General features: G+C 39.2%; 1 protein-coding gene across 171 annotated transcripts in view; it reads right to left on the bottom strand.

Moving 5' to 3' along the window:
* PBRM1 (polybromo 1) overlaps nucleotides 1–25655 on the bottom strand; it is a 140547-nt gene that overhangs the window by 77179 nt on the left and 37713 nt on the right. For 109 of the 171 annotated variants that reach the window (NR_174502.1, NM_001405585.1, NM_001405555.1 and 106 more), the window contains 6 exons: nucleotides 22159–22244; nucleotides 20703–20798; nucleotides 19409–19500; nucleotides 12057–12270; nucleotides 6349–6490; nucleotides 4728–4825 (listed from right to left, as the gene is read on the bottom strand). Coding sequence is in view for 166 of the 171 variants with exons in the window: in NM_001405585.1 (NP_001392514.1) it covers nucleotides 4728–4825; nucleotides 6349–6490; nucleotides 12057–12270; nucleotides 19409–19500; nucleotides 20703–20798; nucleotides 22159–22244 (728 nt within the window). In the remaining 5 variants the exon portion in view is untranslated. Of the gene's footprint in view, nucleotides 1–2351; nucleotides 2397–4727; nucleotides 4826–6348; nucleotides 6512–12056; nucleotides 12271–18945; nucleotides 19501–20702; nucleotides 20799–22158; nucleotides 22245–23718; nucleotides 24866–25655 lie in introns of those variants that run through there. The other 62 variants (NR_175959.1, NM_001405601.1, NM_001400471.1 and 59 more) reach the window with 10 other exon arrangements.

Consider the following 25655-nt stretch of genomic DNA (forward strand, 5'->3'; position numbering starts at 1 on the left):
GCACAAAGTTTATGCACTAGCAGAGGCTCTATTCTGAATCCCTGATGTGTGATGGCAAATGTGATTTTCCAGGATCACCATCGACACTATCCTCCGGAACCCAACCCAATCTGAAACACCTAAATCAGTCACTTTTTCTCCCCCTGGCTGATCAGCAAGTTCTAGAAGACTTCCACAGCCCTTCTACATCCTGTTTTCCTTTTAATGTTTCATGCCACAATGTAAGTCCTTGGCTCTCATACTTTGTGGCTGACCACTTTGTCAAATGCCCTTATCAATATTCTTCCTCTAAAGCTACTATTTATTTTTATATATACTAATATTTACAAATACACACACACACAATTCTTATATACAGTTGTAAACTATAGCTACTAATACTTCTACCAAATGTTAAACACTATGCACTCTCATTTAATCTTCAAATTCAGAATCAAATATAATTATTACCCCAACTATGCAGATGTAAAAACTGAGGCTTAGAGACAGCAAATGAATACCTAAGGCCATAAAGTAAACAACCAGAACAGACATTTGAATCAGCTGATAATCACCATGCTGCTTTTATGTCCCTTCCTTTCCCAAAAGTTGGCACAGCCCGGCACAGTGATGCATGCCTATAGTCTCAACTACTCAGGAGGCTGAGGTGGGAGGATCACATGAGCCCAGGAGTTTGAGGCTACAATGTGCCACCATCACACCTGTGAATAGCCACTGCACTCCAGTCTGGGCAACACAGCAAGACCCTGTTTCCTAAAAAATAACAGCTGGCACTTACCAACAGCCTCTCTAATCAAAGTCAACCCTGTTTACAGGCTTTAAGGTGTCCCAGCATTTAGCTCCCCCACCTTAAGAGCTTCAGTTGTGCTTACTAGTAAGCTAAGTAAACCCAAACGTTCTTTCTTTTACAAGGCTTGCTATATTTCACCTTCAAGTCTTCAAGAAATAAAACCTTTTCATTCATCTTTTCCAATGAGTCTTCCCAGACAAGTAACATCTGACTAAAAACAAAACCAAAATCTACCAAGTCAATAGGTCAATAGGTCAATAAGCGCTACTTCAAGAAAATAAACAGCTACATTTACTGAGTACTCAGTGCATCCAGACCCAGTTCTAAGAGCTTTAAACATATTAACTAACTGGATCCTCACACCAATCCTATGAAGGTACTGTCATTAACTTGTTTTTCAGATAAAGTTGAAATGAGGCTTAGATTACAGAGCTAATAAGAACAGCTGGGATTGGAATTTAGGCAGTCAGGCTCTAGAACTCAGGGTTGTAACACTACCCAGTGATGCCCCCTATTCCTATTTCCACTACCACCTAGTTTCAATGCCATACATTATGAATGATATGAAAGAATACAATCCATGGTCTTTTTCTTAAATTTACCATTTAATTAAGAAAACTTTTCTTTAGGAAAATATTAGGAAGATGACAATGATAACATAGCAATTTTACTGAGTGGAATACATATGGTAGTAACATTTGGGGAAGCTCAAGACATTCAACTTTCAAGGGAAAGTATGGTAGGAAAATAATCTTTCCTAAAGCTATCTGGGCAATCATGCAATGATCCTATACAACTGCTTAGTAGTGTACCTTATGCAATTATTTTACTACCTTGCTTCCAAATGACTTCATTTGTTTTCAACCTGCCTCTTTCCTTGGCCTATATGTTCCTGGCAGGTAAAAGAGATGACTAAATGTTCTCCTTTATAAACTGTAAGAGCAGAGTTTAGTGTTCTATAAGCAACTGATACTCTGTGAATGTCAGACGGCAAATGTGAAAACAAAAGCACTACACAATTATTACATAGGTTGTTTTCAAATCATAAGTAACATGCAAAAGAATGCTTTTTATAAAAGACATGAACAAGATCAGAGACTGAGGAAATGTATTCATGCTCAAGAAGCACTGACCCAATGCATAGGTGTCCACATGCACTGATGTCACTCAGACTGTGAAGCTGATTTTGATCCCTCCACCACCCTCAATCTGTAAAAGGCATCCCTGAAAGGGAATCAGCACCTGCCAGTCCTGCACCAGCACTGCCACCTTCTACCTTTTGCTACAGAAACACAGCCACAATGATTGGTGAGGGGGCCTTCTGTCCCTGGCAAAGCTAGCAACAAATTAAGGCTACTTCTGAACTAGGTTAATTCTGAATTTATTTTGCTAACAAGATTTTTTAAACTGTACTGCTTTCTTTATTCATAAAATAAACTGGCACCCCAATAAAGACTTTTTTTCACATGCTTAAGGCTTCACTTTTCACCTAATCAGTACTGATCATGCCACAGAAGATACACTTTAAAAGAATGTTTATGCATAAAAAAGGACTGCACACCTGGATAGCCTCCTGAGACCCAACATCTCACTGTCATGAGTGTTCCTGGGAAAGCAGAAACAAACATTACATGTAAAGAGAAACAAAACAAGCAACATTGGAGGGTCATGTACAAACCATGTATGGTTGAAGAAAAAGATTATTCAGTCCAAAGTACCAAAGACAATATTTGAAACATTTCAACAAGGAAGACAGATGTTGGCAGAAAGAATGCACCCCCAGAATGAAGAGAATATACCCACAATCAATTTTTCTCACATTCTTTAGTATTAAAAAAAAGGCGAAGGCAGAATCATACACAGCACTTAGAAGTCAAGTCAAGTGGTACTTGGAAAACTTAGCCCTGACTTCTGTGGCCAAGATTAGCTTAATTTTCTAGGCTACTGTCTGCCTGACTTCTGAAGAAATCTCTTATTACCAAAACCTCTCAACATGACTGATCGTGTTATTTCCTTTTTCATAGTCCAAAGTATAAGACTTAATCCTTTCAATCTTTTAACGTCCACTCATGTCTACATTTCAAACTCAGATTCTTTTATTTTTTTAGTGGATGATTTATATTGTTCTTTTATTTGTGTTTTTCACTTCATTTGTACAAAACACTTCCTAGGAAACCTGTTTGTAAAGAGACTTTTTGTCTGAAGTAAGATTTTTTTAAATTAAGAACATAATGCTTAACTTTTTTTTTTTTTTTTGAGACAGAGTTTTGCTCTTGTCACCCAGGCTGGAGTGCAATGGTACAATCTCGGCTCACTGCAACCTCCACTTCCCAGGTTCAAGCGATTCTCCTGCCTCAGCCTCCCGAGTAGCTGGGATTACAGGTGCCCACTATCACGCCTGGCTAATTTTTTTGTATTTTTAGTAGAGATGAGGTTTCACCACGTTGTCCAGGCTGGTCTCGAAACTCCTGACCTCAAGTGATCCACCTGGCTCGGCCTCCCAAAATGCTGGGATTACAGGCATGTGCCACTGTGCCTGGCCAAAAACTTTAGCTTATTTGAGTGTCCCACAGACTACTAGCCACACAGGTATGTAATTTTCGAGTATCTGGCCTGGGCTAATGCTTCGTTGGAACTGTTTTCTTAATACTCAACTAATTTAAGATCTTTCTTTTCATCCAGTGTTGGCACTAATTGTACCATCACTTTTGCCTCCATTACCTTCTTTTGCCTGATAAGTTTTTATCTTTGATAGGTGACTGATCTGGAAAACACAGGTGATGCTGCAGTAGAGTTACATATTTACACTCAAAGTTGTTCTTGTTCTTGATTTGATGTCTTTGATCTGGTTTCACACTTTTCCTCCATTGTCCCTGGTATAACAAGGAATTAAGAACTTGGAAGGATGAAATTCATAGGCCAGTAATGGAGGAGACTCACATCTCAGGGTATACTGATCAATTTAGTTACCATGGTAAAGCTTAAAAAATTCTCCAAAATGCTATCTATAAGAAGGAAAGCAGGACAGCTCCTCTTTTCTAAACTACTTTTTAAATTCTTCTTAGTGGATCTCTTAATGCATGTATAGACTGTGTCAACAGTTACTAAAGACTTCATTCAACTTTGAATCTGCCAAGCCTTGCTATTAGTGATTAGCTTATTCCTTATTGAAGGTATCTTCCCTGGATTGACTGTTGCTGCAAAGATGGTGAGGCAGTCATGATTAAAGGACAATACAGTGTTCCACAATGATCAGGCGAGAGAAACTTTGTGTGGCGAGAGATAATATTGCAAAATTCCTTATAGGATCCCAGCTTTGGAATCTCACAGTAAGATCCCCTTCCACAAAACCCGTGAGAAGGAGAAACGGTTAGGGAAGTTGAGAGAAAGGTTATATAGGAAAAAAAACCCCAAAAATCTAGCTCAACATTTTATGAGCTATAAGAAGTTATGATTTGTTATTTTATAATCTGACATGCTTAAAATGGCAAATAAAGATGAGGTGAACAAGGACAAACAAAGGGTAGGACCAATGGCATACCTCACTGCAGTGGTAGTATCAAATTTCTCCTTACCTTTCCTAATTCAAATTGCATTTTTGTAATTCACCATGTAGAAATTACCCAAGTTAGATTTAAGTGGCATTCTTAAAATGCCACATTAAAAGAAAAAAAAAAACCCAGACGGCAAACGGAATAACATGTTTTGCCAAGCTACATATGTAGTAGTCATTTTCATCTGGGTCATCTAAAAGTAACATGGCACTTTTACAAAAAAAAAGCTAATCATCCAATTGCAAATGAATTTTAAAAGAGAACACATTACCATTTATTTAAAGCTTACAACTTGATAGCTTAAAAAATATATATTTTCTTCACTTATCTAAAACAAAATTAACAGGAACTGAGATGTCCCCAGCTATAAGAAGAGTATATACCTTTTTCTTTTGGCACTACCAGTATCAGAGGTGGCTGAAGAGATCATGCTGTCTCCGTCCTCGATATCGTCTCTCCTGGCAAGCTCTTTCTTCTTTGCCTAAAACAGAGCAGATCTCAGGAGTTGAGCTCATGTGCCAAACACTCCTCTGAATATATGAATGTTAAAGAGCTAGACATATCAGATTCACTCAGAAAAATACAATCACATGCAGGATGTACAAAATGAAAGAGTCATTAAACATTTTCAATAACCAATTTTAACAAAAGCCTGCATGACAAAAAGAGTAGGTTAAAAAATGGTTCTACAGGGTTGAGGAGTCAATACCAGCAGAGCATTTATGACTATAATGGGTGCTAACTGGTTAAAAGCACTGAGGCAAGCTGTAGAAGCATCCTGCTCTGGTTGTCCTATTTAAGTAAAACCAACTCAAAGAGGGCCTTTGGTACTCCTGACTTCTAAGGGGCAGTGTGGCTAAGAATAAAGTTTAATGCAAGAAGTGAAAGATCTACTTTTCAACACATGCATTTTTAAAGGCCTTCTGCCAAACAGAGCTGAAAGTCCAAGCACAGCAGGCTTAGGGAATGTACAGAGTACTAAAAAGGTAATAATACCTGAAAGTCTCAGCACTAAGGTTCACTGTTAATCATATAAAATGAAGATTCTATGGGTGATCTAAAATTGCCTTTGTTGCTTCATTGTTCAGAGATTTGCCTTTCCAGAAAGATTCTACCAAAAACTGTCAGATAGACCCAATTTGTATTTCATATCTACCTTTTCATCTTAAAACCCCTAGATGAACCATGACCTGAGACATCCTTCCAAGGGTTCTCAGAGAGGATCTGATAAATTCATAGACAATATACAAAGATTAATTTGCTTTCAGATGTCCTTTCTGATAGAATCAGCCCTACTTTAACAAAGTCTAGAACCAAAGGAATAAAATCTAAATGATGGAATATCATCGGTGATTGCAGGGTGACTTCATGAGAATCCCAAAATTACTGTACAGGGACCAATCCCTGCTTCCTCCAATCAGAAGGCTAACCCCATCTCAATTATTATTTCTACTCTATATGGCCATGACAACTCCAAAAAAAAAAAAAATTCAGCAGTACTTGAGGATGAAATACATAATAAATATATATTATAATACATAAGTATAATATATAAAATACATATTTTATATATATATTATATATATTGTTTGTTTGTTTGAGACAGGGTCTCACTTGGTTGCCCAAGCTGGAGTGCAGTGGTGCAATCTCGGCTCACTGCAACCTCCACTTCCCAGGCTTAAGCAACCCTCCCACCGCAGCCTCCTGAGTAGCTGGGACTACAGGCGTGTGCCATCAGGACTGGCTAATTTTTGCAGTTTTTGTAGAGATGGGGGTCTCGCTATGTTGCCCAAGCTGGTCTTGAACTCCTGAGCTCTAGTGATTCTCTCACCTTGACCTCCCAAAGTGCTGGGATTACAGGTGTGAGCCACCGCACCCAGCCAAATGATGTAATATTACTGCTGAGGGTGGGGGGGATCACACATCTTACTAGAACACACTCAAAACATGCAAAATTATTTTAATCATATATACAACAAACTCAGCAAAAACAATAAATCACACCTGCATAACTTGCTGCAATTTTAGAACTCGCTTGTAGATGGCTGAATTGGGCACATTATAGCGTTTGGCATTTTCAAACATTAAATTCAGATCACACTCCAAATGATCTAAAGTTTCATATTCTTGATTCTTCAGTTTTGTTCTGTGAAAGACAAAGAAATTGCTAGAATTTTCTGTCATGAAAATTATGAAACATTCTTCCTGAAAGTCCAATGCAAAATCTTGACAAGCACTACATGGTATCTTTACTGGTAATACTGATTAGGAACTTAAAAATGACTTTTGAGATACAAAGTAAGGAGGCAAAAGCACCATTACATTAAGGTAATATGACAGTTTACTTGAAAATCCAAAAGAATAAACTAAAACACTATAAGAAATAATAATAAGACCTAGTAAAGACCTAGCAAAGAAGACAATTACAAAGCAAACATTCTACTTGGAAAAAACCCTAATGGAAAAATCCTAATAGTTCATACGTGAACCTTATGAAGGGACGAAAATTAGGGAGGTTTTAAGTGACCTCAATGAACAATCATGGTGATCTACCCATTTCTGAAAATAAAAGGCCATTCTAGTTCATAAGGGTTAAAGAGACAGTACTGACAGTGCAAAGTATTTATAAACAATAAAGAGTGGTCTTATGATGGTAAAAGAGAGATAGATATGTCAGAGTCCATTCATTTCTATTCTTCCAATATAAACACATAATAACTTGGCAGCTTAAAGCTGGGATTTTTACTTAAAAGTCTTAAGATTCCAAGTATCTCACTTAAACACAATCATTATTATTGTATCAACTATCATAAAGCCCTTATGTACTTTGTACAAAGTAGAGTCACTATTTGCTGTAACACTATATGGATTTAGACAGGACAGACTTTAAATCTTTTGATTGTAGCATTTGCACGTTAACCATCAAAATCACAAAGACAGTTAACAATAATATGTATAAACAGCTTCACAGAATAAGTGAATTTTCTCTTAGAATGGCATCTGCATGTAAAGTTTTATTTAAAATTTACCAAAATCATATTCAGATTCTGTGTTGTGCTCCAACAGATGAATATTAGAGAACATCTCTGTGACAAAGCAAACAACAACTAAGCACAAATTCAGCTCTCAGTACCAGGTTGTGTAGCTAGCACCTAGAGTTCAAATTACAGCCTCAGACTTGTTCCCGTCAACTCAAAGGGTAGAGGGCTAGATGTTCTCAATACCCTCAAACAGACAGAAAACCCAAACTTGCAAATGACAACGAATAATAAACCTGCAGATATTTATCAGATTACTATTAATCAAGGGTAGTGGGGGAGGAAAAAGAAAAAAAAATAGGGGGGACAAATCCCAGTACAGCAGAAGGTAGCATATGGAGTCCACACTGTCTAGTTCCTGCTTACTCTTCCATTTTTGTTGCTTTTGGGGAAACTCAACTATCTTCCTTCTGCCAATAGATCTTCCTAGGGGTACACTGTACAATATAGTAGCCACTAGCCATGTGTGGCTATTTAAATTAAAATTAAATAAAACTTAAAATCTAATTCCTTAATCACACTAGCCACATTTCAAGTGCTCAATAGCCACATATGACTAGTGTCTATCACATTGGAATATTGATAATAAAACATTTTCATCAACGCAGAAAGTTCTGTTGAATAGCACTGCCCCTAGACCTCCCTGTTGCTCTGTAGACCACAATGGAAGGGATCGTAGGCACAGTAAGGCTCCTGTCAGGCACCACTGGCTCACAATCCGCGGAAGGCAGCAACATTAGACATAATAGTTTACCCTTCAGAACTTTAGTGTGCTGGGCTTCAACAACTTCCCTATTCCTTACTCTCCCCTGTGTGCCACACAATTGCCATTATAAATTAGAAAGGGGAGGGGAGATATTACTGACTTAAAGCAAAGTTTATATTAGAAAATTTCAACTTGGAAGAAGGCTGTGTTGGCAGGGGACTGAGCTGGCTAAGAATTTGTCTTCTTTTGAACTAAGCTACTGTAATAGACTATTTAAATAATTTAAAAATAATAATGAAGGAGAAAGGAAACCAAGAACAAAAATTGTTCAAAATTTTGGACAGGGAACTTCTTAACATCTGCAAGACTATCACTATCTTTTCCCAACGCAAAGAATATAAAAGACATATTTCTAGGCTATTTCTGTAATGAATCTCAGCCTTAATTTCCATGTTATTTTAATAAGACCAAAAAAACTAATCTTCTGTATCCTACTTGTATACAGGACCTCCAAAGTCTGGATTAAATAAAAGCACCATAAATCCTACTGATCAACGTCAGGCGTGGTGACTCACGCCTGTAATCCCAGCACTTTGGGAGGTCAAGGCGGGCAGATTGCTTGAGCTCAGGAGTTTGAGGCCAGCCTGGGCAATATGGCAAAACCCTTTCTCTATTAAAAAAAAAAAAAAATTATTACTGATCAAATGGTGAAAACAAAAGTTACAAATGCAAAAGCATGAAACATACTTTGTTAGCCAGCCTTATTTCCTAGAATCCAGCAAGCACATTAAATATCTGCCATGAAGCCAACTTACTGTTACTTAGCTAAGGTAGTTTTACCTGCTTCTTGACTCTATCTGGGTATTCTACTATAAAGCATCATATTTTATAATATTACTTCTTTCTTTTTGTTGAGACAGGGTCTTACTCTGTTACCCAGGCTGGAGTGCAGCAGCATGATCTTGGCTCACTGCAACCTCCATCTCCCATGTTCAAGTGATACTCCCACGTCAGCCTCCCAAAGTGCTGGGATTACAGATGTGAGCCACCTCGCCTGGCCAACTTTTGATATTTTTAAGTTTATTTTTAATTTAAATAAACAAGAAGGCACAGCGGGACCAATTAAACTATTTTTCTGTTCTTTATACCAAAAAGTCTAAGAATTTTTATTGATTTCCTGAAAGCAATAAATATCTTTGAAAATTTGTAATGTAAGAAAGGAGCTTGGAATGTACAGGTAATATCAAAATTCACAGAGACTGATTCAAAGATGGAAGGCAAACCAAGTGATTTTGAACACATTCATTTGATTCCAACTTAAGATTTTTGGTTAACTTTCCTTAAAGATATTTATTCTTTTGAATGTTTTGAATTTTTATGATTCTTTGGGAATGGTCACCTATTCTGCTTTTTATAGAAACAGAAATTTTAGCTATTGTGAATGCTGCTGCTGTGAACACAGGTTTACAAATACCTCTTTGAGACCCTGCTGTTTTTACAGAAACAGAAACTAGGTCAGGATCTATTTAAAAATAAATTAAAAGCTCATGAATTTTGTGTCTGTCTGGAAATCAGGATTTTTGACTTTCAGAGATATCATACAGAGTCCAAAAATATACTCCATGACATTATGGATTTTTTTTAGCTTTCACAGAAGAGATTTTAAAAGGCCGGGTATGGTGGCTCACACCTGGAATCCCAATATTTTGGGAGGCTGAGGTGAGAGGATTATTTAAGGCCAGAAATTCAAGACCTGGGCAACAAGCAAGACTTGGTCTCTACAAAAACATTTAAAAAAATTAGCTGGGCATGTTGGCATGTGTCTGTGGTCCCAGCTACTTGGGAGGCTGAGGCAGAAGGATCCCTTGAGCCCAGAGGTTCGAGTTGATCATGCCAGCTTACGCAACAGAGCAGAGACCCTGTCTCTTTAACAAAAAGAAAAAAGCAAATTTGATATTGGGAGGTATGGATAGAAAATGGGCACTGAAGAAAAGGTTACTATCCCCCCCAATTTGAAAAATTTTGGTATAACACAAAACTTACCACCTTGACCTTTTTTTTTTTTTTTTTTAAGAGATGGAGTCTCACTCTGTCACCCAGGCTGGAGTGCAGTGGTGCGACCTAGACTCACTGCAATGCAACCTCCACCTTCCCGGTTCAAGCAATTCTCCTACCTCAGCCGCCCGAGTAGCTAGGATTACTGGCTCCTGCCACTACGCCTGGCTAATTTTTGTACTTTTAATGGAGACGGGGTTTCACAATGTTGGCCGGGCTAATCTCAAACTCCTGACCTCAAGTGATTTGCCCACCAAATCACTGGCTAACCAAAGTGCTGGGATTATAGGTGTGAGCCTCTGCACCCAGCCTACCTTGACCATTTTTAAGTGTACAGTTTAGTAGTATAAAATACTTCCATAATGCTATGCAATTAATATGACCATCCATCTCTAGAACTCTTTCCATTTTGTAAGACTGACACTCTATACCCATTAAACAGTAACTTCCTGTTTCCCTCTTCCCCTAGTCCCTGGCAACTACTATTCTATTTTGTCTCTGATTTTTTTTTTTAATGTTCTGGATCAGCGTCTATGTCTCTATGACTTCTGATTGCACAAATACTCATATCAATAGAATCATTCAGTATTTGTATTTTGTGACTGGGTTATTTCACTTAGCATAATGTCCTCAAGCTTCATCCATGTTAGAGCGTTTCAAAATTTCTTTTAAAGATTGAATAATATTCCATTGTATGTACACACCATTTTGCGTATCCCCTCATCTCTTGATGCATACTTGAGCTTCCATGTTTTAGCTATTGTGAATGCTGCTGCTGTGAACACAGGTTTACAAATACCTCTTTGAGACCCTGCTTTCATTTCTTTGGGGTACATATGCAAAATGGAATTTCTTAATCACATGGTAATTCTGTGTTTAATTTTTTGAGGAACTGCCACACTGTTTTCCACAGCGTCTATACCATTTTACATTCCCACTATCTGCACAGAGGTTCCAATTTCTCCACATACACACCAATAATTATTATTATTACTTTTTTAAAGTAACCATCCTAATGAGTGCAAAGTGGTATCACACAAAAGTTCTGAACTGCATTTTCCTAATAATTAGTGATGCTGAGCACCTTTTCATGTGCTTATTAGCCAGCTGTATATTTTCCTTGGAGAAAGGTCCATTCAAGACCTTTGCCCATTTCTGAATTGGGTTTTTTTTTGTGGTTGAGACGTCCTACTATTTTTAATGACACTATTGTGATTTAAGTATTCTGTCTGGTAGCCCAATGATCACTTTAACATTTTCTAAATAGAAAAAAGAGAACAAGATGAATCATCTTTCTGGTATGGTTGCGGTTAATGAATTCTCCAGGAACTGACTATGCTTATCCTGGGGTTTCAACTATAGATACATAACTTAAATACAGATTAACTGTCATAATTAAAATATTAATAAAAGAGGTAGGCTGAAAGATTTTCGTACTTTGCTCAGTTATAAGATAATGAACAGTTAAGGCTGGGTACAGAGGCTCACACCTGTAATCCCAGCACTTTGGGAGGCCGAGGTGGGCAGATCATGAGGTCAGGAGATCGAGACCATCCTGGCCAAAGTGGTGAAACCCAGTCTCTAATAGAAATACAAAAATTAACTGGGTGTGGTGGTGCGCACCTGTAGTCCCAGCTACTCAGGAGGCTGAGGCAAGAGAATCACCTGAACCCAGGAGGCGGAGGTTGCAGTGAGCCGAGATCACGCCACTGCACTCCAGTCTGGCAACAGACTGAGACTCCGTCTCAAAAAAAAAAAAAAAAAAAAAGGTAATGAACAGTTAAAATTTGAGGTTAAAAAAAAACACCATTTTTACCTTTAATATCCTTATCCATTTTAGGAAGAAATACATTATGTGCAGGCTCAGCCACAACAAAATAAAATTATACTGAATAATGTAGAAGACATCTTACCGGATCTGTTGTAGTGATATGGGCATTTTAATTTGCTGGTAATAATCAGGGTATTTTTTCTTTGAAGGCAAATGGTAAAAAGGTTCAGCTATTAGCTGCCCTTGGTTATTCCGACAACTCCTAACTGTGTCATAAAGCTGATAAAAAGGATTTGAAACATCCATAAAGGAAGTGATGCTTTCTGCTTCTGACTCTCCCTCTTCATAGCGTGCAGCTGGAAAGACAAAAAAAGTATTTATAAAGGGACGAATGAGATGAAGAAAGAACCATACTTTAAAGTTCATTTAACAACCTTCCAGATTGAACTAAATATATTTGAAAACTATTATTACTATTATTTTTGAGACAGGGTCTGGCTTTGTCACCCAGGCTGGAGTGCAAGGGTGCGATCTTGGCTCCCTGCAGTCTCTGCCTCTGGGACTCAAGCAGTTCTCCCAGATCAGTCTCCCGAGTAGCTAAGAAGACAGGTGCACACCATCACACCCAGCTAATTTTTGGATTTTTCAGTAGAGATGGGGTTTCGTCATGTTGCCCAGACTGGTCTCAAGGTCCTGAGCTTAGGCAATCTGCCAGCCTCAGCCTCCTAAAGTGCTGGGATTACAGGTGTGAGCCACCACGCCTGGCCCTTTTTTAAAAAAATTCTAAGATAAAGGGAATAATTACTTTAAAAAAATAGTCTCTAAGGCTGGGTGTGATGGCTCACGCCTGTAATCCCAGCACTTTTGAGAGGCCAAGGTGGGTGAATCACAAGGTCAGGAGTTCGAGACCAGCGTGGCCAACATGGTGAAACCCCGTCTCTACTAAAAATACAAAAATTAGCTGGGCATGGTGGCATGCACCTGTAATCCCAGCTACTCAGGAGGCTGAGGCAGAAGAATTGCTTGAACCCAGAAGGCGGAGGTTGCAGTGAGCCGAGATTACACCACTGTACTCCAGCCTGGGTGACGGATGAAGACTCCATCTCAAAAACAAATACAAAAACAAAAAAACCTCTCAAATGTTTATTAAAGATAATGCTAAAAAGGCTTAACATAATTGCATGTTTAGAGAAATATTACATAGAAATAGAATATTAAATAGTAAAAGTACAATAGTTTTAAAGGTTGCAAAACAGTTTCTTTCTGAAATGTGCTTTCTTCAGAGACTGTTTGCTATGCTTGGCCAAAAGGAGCAAGTAACCATTCAGAGATCCCAGAACTAAAACAGTAACATGAAGTTTAAGATAGTATAAATTTAGATTGGGCTGATTCTTTTTTATTTATTTCTTATTTATTTATTTTTGAGACGGGGTCTCACTCTGTCGCCAGGCTGGAGTGCAGTGGCGTGATCCTGGCTCACTGCAACCTCCGCCTCCTGAGTTCAAATGATTCTCCTGCCTCAGCCTCCTGAGTAGCTGGGACTACAGGCATGTGCCACCACGCCTGGCCAATTTGGTTTTTTTTTGTATTTTTAGTAGAGATGGGGTTTCACCATATTAGCCAGGATGGTCTCGATCTCCTGACCTCGTGATCTGCCCGCCTCGGCCTCCCAAAGTGCTGGGATTACAGGCGTGAGCCACCACGCCCAGCCTAGATTGGGCTGATTCTATCAGACATGATTTAGCCTTAAATCTCTGTGACTTTGCCCACTGATTTAAAACATCCCCCAGGACTATTCCCTTGCTGAGGGAATTTTTAGGTAGAAGCAAATCATAAAAACACCAAAGCAAACAAAACGTAATTATTTTTATAAAAATAAAAAATATGTTGCTCATTTCCCCAAACTCCTAAACAGTGTGTAAGGACCATAATTTAAATTTTTCTTGATGGATCAGAATAAACATATAGTTGCTATGTACTCTCAGGTAAGAACCATAATCATTTATTAAGAATTTAGGCTGGGCACGGTGGCTCATGCCTGTAATCCCAGCACTTTGGGAGGCCAAGGCGGGCAAATCATGAGGTCAGTAGTTCAAGACCAGCCTGGCCAACATGATGAAACCCCGTCTCTACTAAAAATAAAAAAAATTAGCCGGGTGTGGTGGCAGGTGACTGTAATCCCAGCTACTCGGGAGGCTGAGGCAGGAGAATCACTTGAAACCAGAAGGCGGAGATTGTAGTAAGCAGGGATTACACCACTGTACTCCAGCCTGGGCAAAAGAGTGAAACTCTGTCTCCAAAAAAAAAAAAAAAAAAAAAAAAAAAAAGAATTTAATTAGGCCAGGCGCAGTGACTCACACTTGTAATCCTGCCTGGGCGACAGAGTGAGACTCCGCCTTAAAAAAAAAAAAAAGAATTTAATTATGTGTTAAGAGCTTGATAAGTACCAGCCTCAGGTAATCCTAAAACCAACACACAAGATGGGTATTATTTCTTTTTCAAATGGGAAAACTGGGCATATGAGGTTAATTACTTGCACAAGTTCAGCCACCACATAAAGCAGTTGAAGGGGATTAGGAACCAGAGTCATGGAGCTAGAAGCAGATAAGAATTTGAAACTAGTCTTTTCTGACTCTAATACCTCTGATCTCTCCCCTAAAGAGCCTGCAGTTGGATTTACACCTAGGTATATATTTTGTTGCTACTGTAAGCGGCATCTTTTAAAAAAACTGTCAACTGTAATCCTTATACATCTTTTCTGATCCTTACACCTTATTGTTGTCACTGTAGGCTGGCTAGTACTGTGACCAACAAAGGTAACAGTATTACCTTGTTTCTGTTGGTAAGGGAAATGCTGTTACCTTTTCTCCATTAAAAATGGAGATACCCTTGGTGGGCACTGTGGCTCACACATGTAACCCCAACAATTCGAGAGGCAGAGGTGGGTAGCCTGCCTGAGCTCAGGCGTTTGAGACCAGTATGGGCAAAATGATGAAACTCCATCTCTATCACAAATATAAAAAATTTGCTGGGTGTGGTGGCATGTGCCTGTGGTCCCAGCTACGCCAGAGGCTGATGTGGAAAGATTGCTTGAGCCTCGGAGGTGGAGGTTGCAGTGAGCTGAGATCACGCCACTGCACTCCAGCCTGGGTGACACAGTAAAACCCAGTCTCAAGAAAAAAAGAAGGCTGGGCGCAGTAGCTCATGCTTGTAATCCTAGCACTTTGGGAGGCTGAGGCGGGCGGATCATTTGAGGCCAGGAGTTCGAGATCAGCCTGGCCAACATGGCAAAACCATGTCTCTACTAAAAATACAAAAAAAAAAAAAAAAAAAAAAAATTAGCCGGGCATGGTGACGGGCTCCTATAATCCTAGCTACCCGGAGGCTGAGGCAGGAGAATCACTTGAACCTGGGAGGCAGAGGTTGCCATGAGCGGGGATTGCGCCATTGCACTCCAGCCTGGGCAACAACAGCGAAACTCCGTCTCAAGAGAAAAGAAAAAAGAAAAAAAGGAGATACTTTATATCAATATCCCCCTCTCTTACTAGTTAGCAAATAATTTTTATCTTGAATGGGAACTGAAACAATTATCAAATGCATCTGCTGAGCAAATCATATGATTTTACTCTTATAATTTGTTACTGTGGTAAAGATTACTTTTATCTTTTCTAATCCTAAATCCAACTGTGTCCTTATATACTATCTTTTATACACACTGCTAGACAGTGTGCTTATATTTTGTGCAGTTTTGATGTCTAGGTTATATTAGATTCACAGGTTATGTTAGATTCACAGAATGAACTGCGGAGCTCTTTTTCTATTCTCTGCATGAGTTTATTTAAAATTCTGTTCCTTAAATGTTTGGCCTGGTATTTTCTAAGTGGGAATATTTCATTTTATTCTTTTTTTTTTTTTTTGAGACGGAGTCTCGCTCTGTCACCAAGGCTGGGGTGCGATGGCGTGATCTCAGCTCACTGCAACCTCCGCCTCCTGGGTTCAAGCAATTCTCCTGCCTCAGCCTCCTGAGCAGCTGGGATTACAGGCGTGCACCACCATGCCTGGCTAATTTTTCTATTTTTAGTAGAGACGGGGATTCACCATGTTGGTCAGGCTGGTCTCAAATTCCTGACCTCGTATTCTCTCTTTTTTTAAGAGACAGAGTCTCGTTCTGTTGCCAAGGCTAGAGTGTAGTGGAATAATCATAGCTTACGGCAAACTTGAACTCCTGGGCTCAGGCAATCCTCCTGCCTTAGCCTACCAAGTAGGTAGGACTACAGACATGCACCACACCACGCCCGGCTAATTTTTCTTTTTCTTTTTGCAGAGATGAGGTCTCGCTATGTTGCCCAGGCTGGTCTTGAACTCCTGGACTCAAGTGATCCTCCTGCCTCTGCCTCCCAAAGTGTTGGGATTACAGGTGTGAGCCAGCCTTTTTATTCTTGAATCCATTTTAGGTGCTTATTTTCTAGAAATCTGGTCATCTAAATTTTTAAATATATTTGCATAACGTTATTCACATTTTTTTTTGGGGGGGGGGGGCGGGGGACAAAGTTTTGCTCTTGTTGTCCAGGCTGGAGTGCAATGGCACAATCTTGGCTCACAGCAACCTCCGCCTCCCGGGTTCAAGCAATTCTTCTGCCTCAGCCTCCCAAGTACCTGGGATTGCAGGCATGTGCCACTATATGTATTTATAGTAGAGACAGAGAAAGTTTCTCCATGTTGGCCAGGATGGTCTCGAACTCCCAACGTCAGGTGATCTGCCCACCTCAGGCTCCAAAAGTGCCGGGATTACAGGCGTGAGCCACCAAGCCTGGCCTTATTCACACATTCTTTTTTAAAACTCTGTATGCTCTCCTCCCCGCCAATATTGTTTATTTATGCCTTTTTGACAATCTCACCTCAGACTTATTTTTATTAAGGGTTTTAACAGAATAACTTTTGATTTTATTGATCTTTCCTGTTAAAGGTTTCCTTTCTTTTCTTTTTTTTTTTGGAGGCAGGGCTGGAGTGCAGTGGTGGGATCACGACTCATTGTAGCCTCAACCTCCCAGGCTCAAGTGATCCTCCCAACTCCGCCTCTGGAGTAGCTACATATGGCTTATTTTTTAAATTTTTCTTGTAGAATTAGCTGGGTGTGGTGGCAAGTACCTGTGGTCCCAGCTACTAGGGAGGCTGAGGTGGGAGGACTGCTTGAGCCCAGGAGTGGAGGTTGTAGGGAGCCAAGATCACGCCACTGCTCCAGCCTGGGTGACAGAGGGAGACCCTGCCTTAAAAATTTTTTTTTTTTTTTTTGTAGAGGCAGGGTGTTTCTATGTCGAGCAGGCTGGTCTCAAACTTCTGGACTCAAGTGATGCTCCTGCCTCAGCCTCTAAAAGTGCTGGGATAAGAGGCGTGAGCCAGTGTACCAGCCTGCATTGTTTTAAGCCACTAAGTATGTGGTACTGTGTCAGCAGCAATAGGAAACAAATACTTACATGAAGAAGTGTGTTCAAATCTCTATCTTCATTCGTTTTCTGTTTAGCTCTTGAGAGAAGAGGGCTTCCAGACTAAGGGTAGTGTTTTGAATTTCTCTGTAAAGTTTCATCTGCTTGTTTTACATATTTTGAGCTCTTCTACAATTTAACTTGCTGATGAAATTAACCTTCTACCATCATTAGGCAATCCTTTTTATCTGTGTAATGATCTCTGTTTGAAAGTCCATCTTATCAAAAGTCAGTGTAGCTACTCTGGTTATTATTCGCCTGGTTATTATTCGCCTGGTGTATCTTTTAGCCATCCTTTTCTTTTTTTCAAGACAAAAGCCCAATTTTATTATTTTTATTTTTTATTTATTTTTTGAGACAGGGTCTCACTCTGTTGCCCAGGCTGGAGTGGAGTGGTGTGATCACTTCAGGCTCAACCTCCCTGGGCTCAGGATCCTCCCATCTCAGCCTCCCAAGTAGCTGGGAATACAGGCATGCACCAACACGCCTGAATAAATTTTGTATTTTTTGTAGAGACAGCGTTTTGCCATGTTGCCCAGGCTGGTCTTGAACTTCTGGGCTCAAGCAATCCTCCCACCTAGGCCTCCCAAAGTGCTGGGATTATGGGTGTGAGTCACCACACCTGGTCTTATCCATCCTTTTAGATTCAACTTTCTTATGTTTTTATATTTGATGTGTCTCTTGTAACCAGCCATATAACCTCTTTTTCTTCCCCCCAAGACAGAGTCTTGCTCTGTTGCCCAGGCTGGAGTACAGTGGTGTGATCTCGGTTTACTGCAGTCTCCACTTCCTCGGTTCAAGTGATCTTCCTAAGCCTTCCGAGTAGCTGAGACTACAGGTGCGCTCCACCATACCTGGCCAATTTTTTGTATTTTTAGTAGAGACACGGTTTCACCATGTTGGCCAGGCTGGTCTTGAACTCCTGACCTCAAGTGATCCACCCCCCTCAGCCTCCCAAAGTGCTGAGATCACAGGTGTGAGCCACTATGCCCGGCCGTGTGTCACTTTTATAATCAGTAAAAAACAATGCTAACAAGAAGATAATATTTTTTCAATTTCTGATAAGACCAGGCCCAATTTAAATAAAAAAATACTTAATTCTGTAGATCAATGTTTCAAAAAAGTAAATTTATACATAATAGCCTATAGTGATTATGAAATTTCTATAGGAGATTTAGTTAAAAACAAGATACAACTGGAGAAGTCTGTTGTGTAACATTCAATAATAAAATTGAGGCCAGGCGTGGTGTAATCCCAGCACATTCGGAGGCCGAGGCAGGTGGATCATGAGGACAGAAGTTCAAGACCAGCCTGGCCAATGTGGTAAAACCCCGTCTCTAGTAAAAACACAAAAATTAGCCAGGTGTGGTGGCGCGTGTCTGTAGTCCCAGTTACTCAGGAGGCTGAGGCAGGAGAATCACTTGAACCCGGCAGGCGGACGTTGCAGTGAGCTAAGGTCACACCACTGCACTCCAGCCTGGGCAACAGAGCGAGACTCCATCTCAAAAAAAAAAAAAAAAAGAAAAAAAAAAGAAAGAAAGAAAAGAATATACCAGAATAATTTAATGAAACAAATTTTATCTTTACACATAAAAAAATCTATAGTAAAGGGGAAAATATTATATCAAACTTAAGAGAAAGACAAGCCAAGAAGAAATTAGAGCATACTGAAAATATAAGCTAAAGCCTGAAAATCTAAGATGAATGTGGATTTCTGAGATTTTCTGATGCTTTTACTAGTACTCACTATTTATCATTATAGGTTTTAAACCAGGATCTGCTAAGTTATCAATTATTTTTGCAGAAGTATTATTTACCCAAATATGAGTTTTAAGACAAGATAAAGCATTAACCTTTTGATAGGTCTGACTACCAGAGTACAATCAAATGCAATAAAATAGCATGTACTTCCCAAACCAGCAAACCCTAGGCCAGAAAAAATCACTGCAATTTCATTTAGCTAGAAGGATCCACTAAGAAGGCATTTCGCTAGTCAAAACCTAATGCCTACCAGCTAAAGCAGCATCTTCTTCACTTTCTGAGCCATATTGAAGTGCCATTGTAATTGCTGATAAACGACCTCCTTGTACTGCTCTTTTATTACTACAAAAAAAAAAAAAGCAATTAGACAGGGAAGGATGTTATAATAATTAGGTTACTTTACAGGGAACAGGAACTATTAACAAAGTGTTAAGATGAAAGAAAAATAATTTCTATTCAATTGCCTCCTTAGTTTATCTCTGTACTTAATGGTTCTCATAATCAATCTTAGCCGAGGAAACTATTTTTTTCCTCTTAGAAAAGAGGGAGTGGAAAATAAGGACTCAGTCACAGTTGCTGATAATTATCTTCTAAGATGTTCATATTTTACAATACAAATTCTATTATGAGGCTGGGCGTGGTGGCTCATGCCTGTAATCCCAGCACTTTGGGAGGCCGAGGCAGGTGGAACACCTGAGGTCAGGAGTTTGAGACCAGCCTGGCCAACATGGTGAAACCCCATCTCTACTAAAAATACAAAAAATTAGCCGGGTGTGGTAGTAGGCACCTGTAATCCCAGCTATTCGGGAGGCTGAGGCAGGCGAATCACTTGAATCCAGGAGGCAGAGGTTGCAGAGATTGTGCCACTGCACTCCAGCCTGGGCAACGAGAGCAAACTTCGTCTCAAAAAAAAAAAAAAAAAAAACCAAAAACCAAACAAACAAAAAATTCTATTATGAATTTAAAAAACCTATTAGTATTTAACCTCACATTTTATTGGTAGCTAATATTAAACACTGCCTGCCTGAGAAACAATGCTTAAGCATCGTCTGAGAGGTGATATAAGGCCTACGTTAGTAATTCAATTTTTTTTTTTTTTTTGAGATGGAGTTTCCCTCTGTTGCCCTGGCTGGAGTGCTGTGCCACGATGTCGGCTCACTGCAAACTCCGCCTCCCGAGTTCAAGCGATTCTCCTGCCTCAGCCTCCCAAGTAGCTGGGATTACAGGCACCCGCCACCACACCCAGCTAATTTTTGTAGTTTTTAGTATAGATGGAGTTTCACCATGTTGGCCAGGCTGGTCTGGAACACCTGATCTCAAGTGATTCACCCGTATCAGCCTCCCAAAGTGCTGGGATTACAGGCGTGAGCCACTGTGCCCACCCTAGTAACTCAACCTTTTAAATAAACCATTTGACAACAGATTCTCATTAACAACCAAACTATACCCAAAAATATTCCTTCAAGATAGCCATTGGGCAAATACTAGTATGCCTATCTTTATAAGCACAGGTCAACTCTCAGACTAAACACTCTTTTTCTCACCGGTAATACTTGCTAGTGGGATTTCTCTCTTCACCAAGGCTGCCTTTACTGTGTGAAGGACCTGTCAGTCTGGCTGCAGCCAAGTTGGATGGAGTCCTATCCAGAGATAAGATAAAAAGCTTAGAAACTTGGTAGCTGAAATTAGAGTGCTGGGTAAACAAACACACACACAACCATTTTCTTCTCTTCTAAATAGAAATGCTAAAATACTTCTGAACTTCTACTATGCAGCAGACTCTGCTTCAGGCCCTGGGGACTCTGCGGGGAAGAACAGACCAGGGCTGGTCCTAGAGAGCTTTTGGTCACTGCAGTGACCAGAGGACCTGGTACTGAAACAATGTCAAGGCCAGAGGAAAGCTTTGAAAGTAGTCACCCAACCTTCCCATTTCAGGTAGGGAGAAATGCAATCCTAGAACTAAGACTAGTTCAAGATCACAGTCCTGGCCGGGCGCAGTGGCTCACGCCTGTAATCCCAGCACTTTGGGAGGCCGAGGCGGGTGGATCACAAGGTCAGGAGTTCAAGACCAGCCTGGCCAACATAGTGAAACCCTGTCTCTACTAAAAATACAAAAAGATTAGCCGGGCATGGTGGTGTGTGCCTGAAGTCCCAGCTACTTGGGAGGCTAAGGCAAAAGAATTGCTTGAACCTGGGAGGTGGAGGTTGCAGTGGGCCGAGATTGTGCCACTGCAATCCAGTTTGGGCAACAGAGTGAGACTCTGTCTCAAAAAAAAAAAATCACAGTCCTAGTACAAGGAAAAGCCAGGATGAGACTGGATCTCCTGATACCTGCTAAATAGCCTTACCAAAAATATGAATACATACTACTAATATTATATATAAATACCATACTATTATCTATTCTGTGTAATATTAATATATACCATATATTATATATGTATATTCATATTTGTACAAAGCAATAATATTTGTACAAAGTATATAGTGATGTAAAGTTTTAAAAAATGTTTCTAGTTAAATGAAGCCCTTCAGCAGCAAAGGTGCTAAGAGTTACTACTATCTTCAGAATTATAATATCAACTGTAAGTATCACCTTGAAATGCAACATAAACCGTGTTAATGTTTATTGATTTCACTACCTAGAAAACTCAGCAAATATAAAGGCATTAAGGGTTTTAGACATTTTCTTTTTTTTTTGAGACCGAGTCTCGCTCTGTTACCAGGCTGGAGTGCAGTGGTGCGGTCTCAGCTCACTGTAACCTCTGCCTCCCGGGTTCAAGCAATTCTCCTGCCTCAGCCTCCCAAGTAGCTGTGACTACAGGCATATGCCACCACGCCCGGCTAATTTTTGTATTTTTAGTAGAGATGGGGTTTCACCATGTTGGCCAGGATGGTCTCGATCTCTTGACCTCGTGATCCGCCCACCTCAGCCTCCCAAAGTGCTGAGATTACAGGCATGAGCCACCACGCCCAGCCTAGACATTTTCTTAAACCTACCTCATTCGAAGACTTGACTTAGCCATTTCATGATGTTCAATTTCAGCCTTTTTCATATAAAATATTTTTTTAATTGAATTTGCATCCTGTCAAGATAAAATTACTTGGTTTAAAAAAGGAACAGATAAAAGGACAGCTTAATGCCCCCAACTCATGCAATGGGCACCTTCTATGGCACTCTTTCTACTTGGAGCAGACTTCCATTCAATACCCACAAAGCTGCATCCTCCAACATTTCTACAAGCTTCCAAAATATCTATCTTCATAAAGTTGTCACTAATTAAATATAAGTTAAAATGCCTCCTAGTTCTTTCATGATTAGTCAAGTAATATTTAGACAAAGATCTAATGGTATAATACAGTAATGCCCCACTGTCCGTGGAGGATACATTCCAAGACCCCCAGTGGATGCCTGAAACCTTGAACATTGCCAAACCTGGAACACATTTCTGTCTATGTCTTCCATCCACAAATGTAATTCCTTTTCCATATTAATGAAGCACTTTTCATGCACTGTGGCTGTAACTTTTTGCAGTCTGAGGTGCAACAATAAAACTAGCAGAAACTTCTTTTTTTTCCTTCTTTACAATTTCATGAATAGCAGATTCATCTTTTTTTCTTTCTTTCTTTTTTTTTTTTGGTGGAGACAGAGTCTTACCATGTAGACCGGGCTGGTCTCAAACCCCTATCTTCAAGTGATCCTCCTGCCTTGGCCTCTCAAAGTGCTGGGATTACAGGCCTAAACCAGAGTGCCCAGCTGGGAGATTTGTTCTTACTGTAGATCTTAGCAATCTCAGCATACCTTTTTTTTTTTTTTTTCCTTTCTTAAGTCAAGAACTTTCACCTTTTCACTTAAAGGGAGCACTTTAAAGCTTCTTGAATTGCCAGCATCACAACTCTTGTGTTTTGGGGCCATTATTAAGTAAAATAAGGTTACTTGAACATAAGCACTGTGATACCACAGCAGTCGAGCTGATAACCGAGATGGCTACACAGTGACTAACGGCAGGTGGTGTATATAGTGTGGATAGACTGAACAAAGGAATGATTCATGTCCCAGGTGAGACCAGATAGGACAGAAGTGGATGGCATGAATTTCATCACAATACTCAGAATGGTGTGCAATTTAAACTTATGAAGTGCTTATTTCTGGAATTTTCCATTTAATATTTTCTGACCTCAGAACCATACGAAAGCAAAACCGCAGATAAGGTGAGGGACTACGGACAACTAACTCTACTTGTGTACGCTGACCTAAAAATCAAAATACAGATGCACTTCTAAGATTAAAGATTATATACACAAGTTTAGAATGAATGTACTTGCTTAAGTTTCCCTTCTCTTTAAAACTTAGTTAGAAAAAATAATTAGACCCAAAAGTAAAATTCTTAACTGTAACAACAAACAATTAGTACTGTATATTATTAAAATGTCCTATTAGGGACTAGGAATACAAGGACTTCATAGTTCATTCCTGATTTTCTCTCAGAATTTCTTAAAAGATGAAAAATAAAAGTTATCATTAAATACCAACAGCAATTTTGAGTATTTGAGTCAGCATTCAGAAAATTTAAATGATTTTATTCCCAAAAGATTTTCTGAGTCTCCTTTGGCAAATTCCCAATGATACACGATTAATTCAATAAATTTCTACAAGCAATTATTCATTACAGAACCATAAAACTTCTAAGATGGAATTTGCAAAGCAATGAAACAGTCATTTTACATTGTGTACTGCACTACACAGATTGCTTTTTATATTTATGAAGTTTAAATGCAGGGAATAAGTCAATATTTAACTAAAAAATGGATTCAAAACTAACCAAGTCTGGCATAAGGACAGAAATTTAGGTGAGTGGAATAGAACCAAGAATCTAGAAATAAACCCATACATCTATGGTCAATTGATTTCTAACAAAGTTGCCAAGACAATTCAAGACAATTCAATGGGGAAAGAATAATCTTTTCTATATATAGTGCTGGGATAATATCTCATATCAAAGAATGAATTTGGACTCCTACCTTACATGTACCTCACATATATAAAAATTACTTCAAACTGGATCAAAGATCTAAGTACGTTAAGAGCTAAACTATAAACTTCTTACAAGAAAACATAGGTGTAAATCTTTGTGATTTTGGATTAGGGAATGATTTATTTGATATGACACTTAAGCATTAGCAACCAAAGAAAAAAATAGATAAAGTGAACTTCAAAATGAAAAACTTCTGTGTGTCAACAGACACAATCACAAAAGTGAAAAGACAAGAGAATGGGAGAAAATATTTGCAAACCATTTACATGATAAGGGTATAATATCCAGAACATATAAAGAACTCTTACAACTCAACAACAAAAAAACAGTAACACAATTAAAAAATGGGCAAATGATCTGAACATTTCTCTAAAGACGTATGAATGACCTAAAAATCAAAATAAAGAATAAAATAAAAAGATGTTCTGCATCACTAATCATTAGGGAGATGTCAATCAAAACCACAATGCCATACCACTGCACACTCCCTAGGATATCCATAATAAGAACAAAAACAAAAATGGAAAACAAGTGTTGGTGAGGAAGTGGAGAAATGGCAACACCTGGATATTGCTGGTGGGAATGTAAAATGGTAGAGTTTGGAAAACAGTTTGGCGGTTCTTCAGAAAGTTAAATATACAGTTACCACACATGGCCCCGCAATTCCATTCCTAGGTATGTATCAAAGAGAAAAAAAAAAAAAAAAAAAAAAAAAAAAATATATATATATATATATATATATATATATATGTAGTATTTATATGTCCACATAAAAACGTATATGTGAACATTCACAACAGCATTATTTATAATAGCCAATAAGTAGAAACTATCCAAATATCTATCAACTGATGAATGGGTAAATAAAATACAGTGTATATCCCTATAGTAGAATATTATTCCGCAATAAAAAGAACATAGTACTGACACATGCTACAAAATGGATAAACCCTGAAAACATTACGCTAACTGAAGGAATCTAGTCGCAAAAAATCCATATCACATATTATACGATTCCATTTGTGTAAAATGGCAACAGGCAAACACAGAGACTGAAAATAGATTTGAGGTTGCTTAGGGCTAGAGAAGTTGGGGGGACATAAAGGGCGACTGTTAATTGACTGGAGTGATGGCTGCCCAACTCCATGAATATAATAAAAACCATTACATTAAATACTTTTTTTTTTTTCTTTTTGAGACAGAGTCTTGCACTGTCGCCCGGGCTGGAGTGCAATCTCAGCTCACTGCAACCTCTGCCTCCCGGATTCAACCGACTCTCCTACCTCAGCCTCCCGATTGGCTGGGATTACAGGCGCCTGCCACCACGCCCAGCTAATTTTTGTATTTTTAGTAAAGATGGGGTTTCACTATGTTGGCCAGGCTGGTCTGGAACGCCTGACCTCGTGATCCACCCACCTAGGCTTCACAAAGTGCCGGGATTACAGGCGTGAGCCACTGCGC

This window comes from Homo sapiens, chromosome 3, assembly GCF_000001405.40.
Source record: "Homo sapiens chromosome 3, GRCh38.p14 Primary Assembly".
Taxonomy (NCBI): Eukaryota; Metazoa; Chordata; class Mammalia; order Primates; family Hominidae; genus Homo; species Homo sapiens.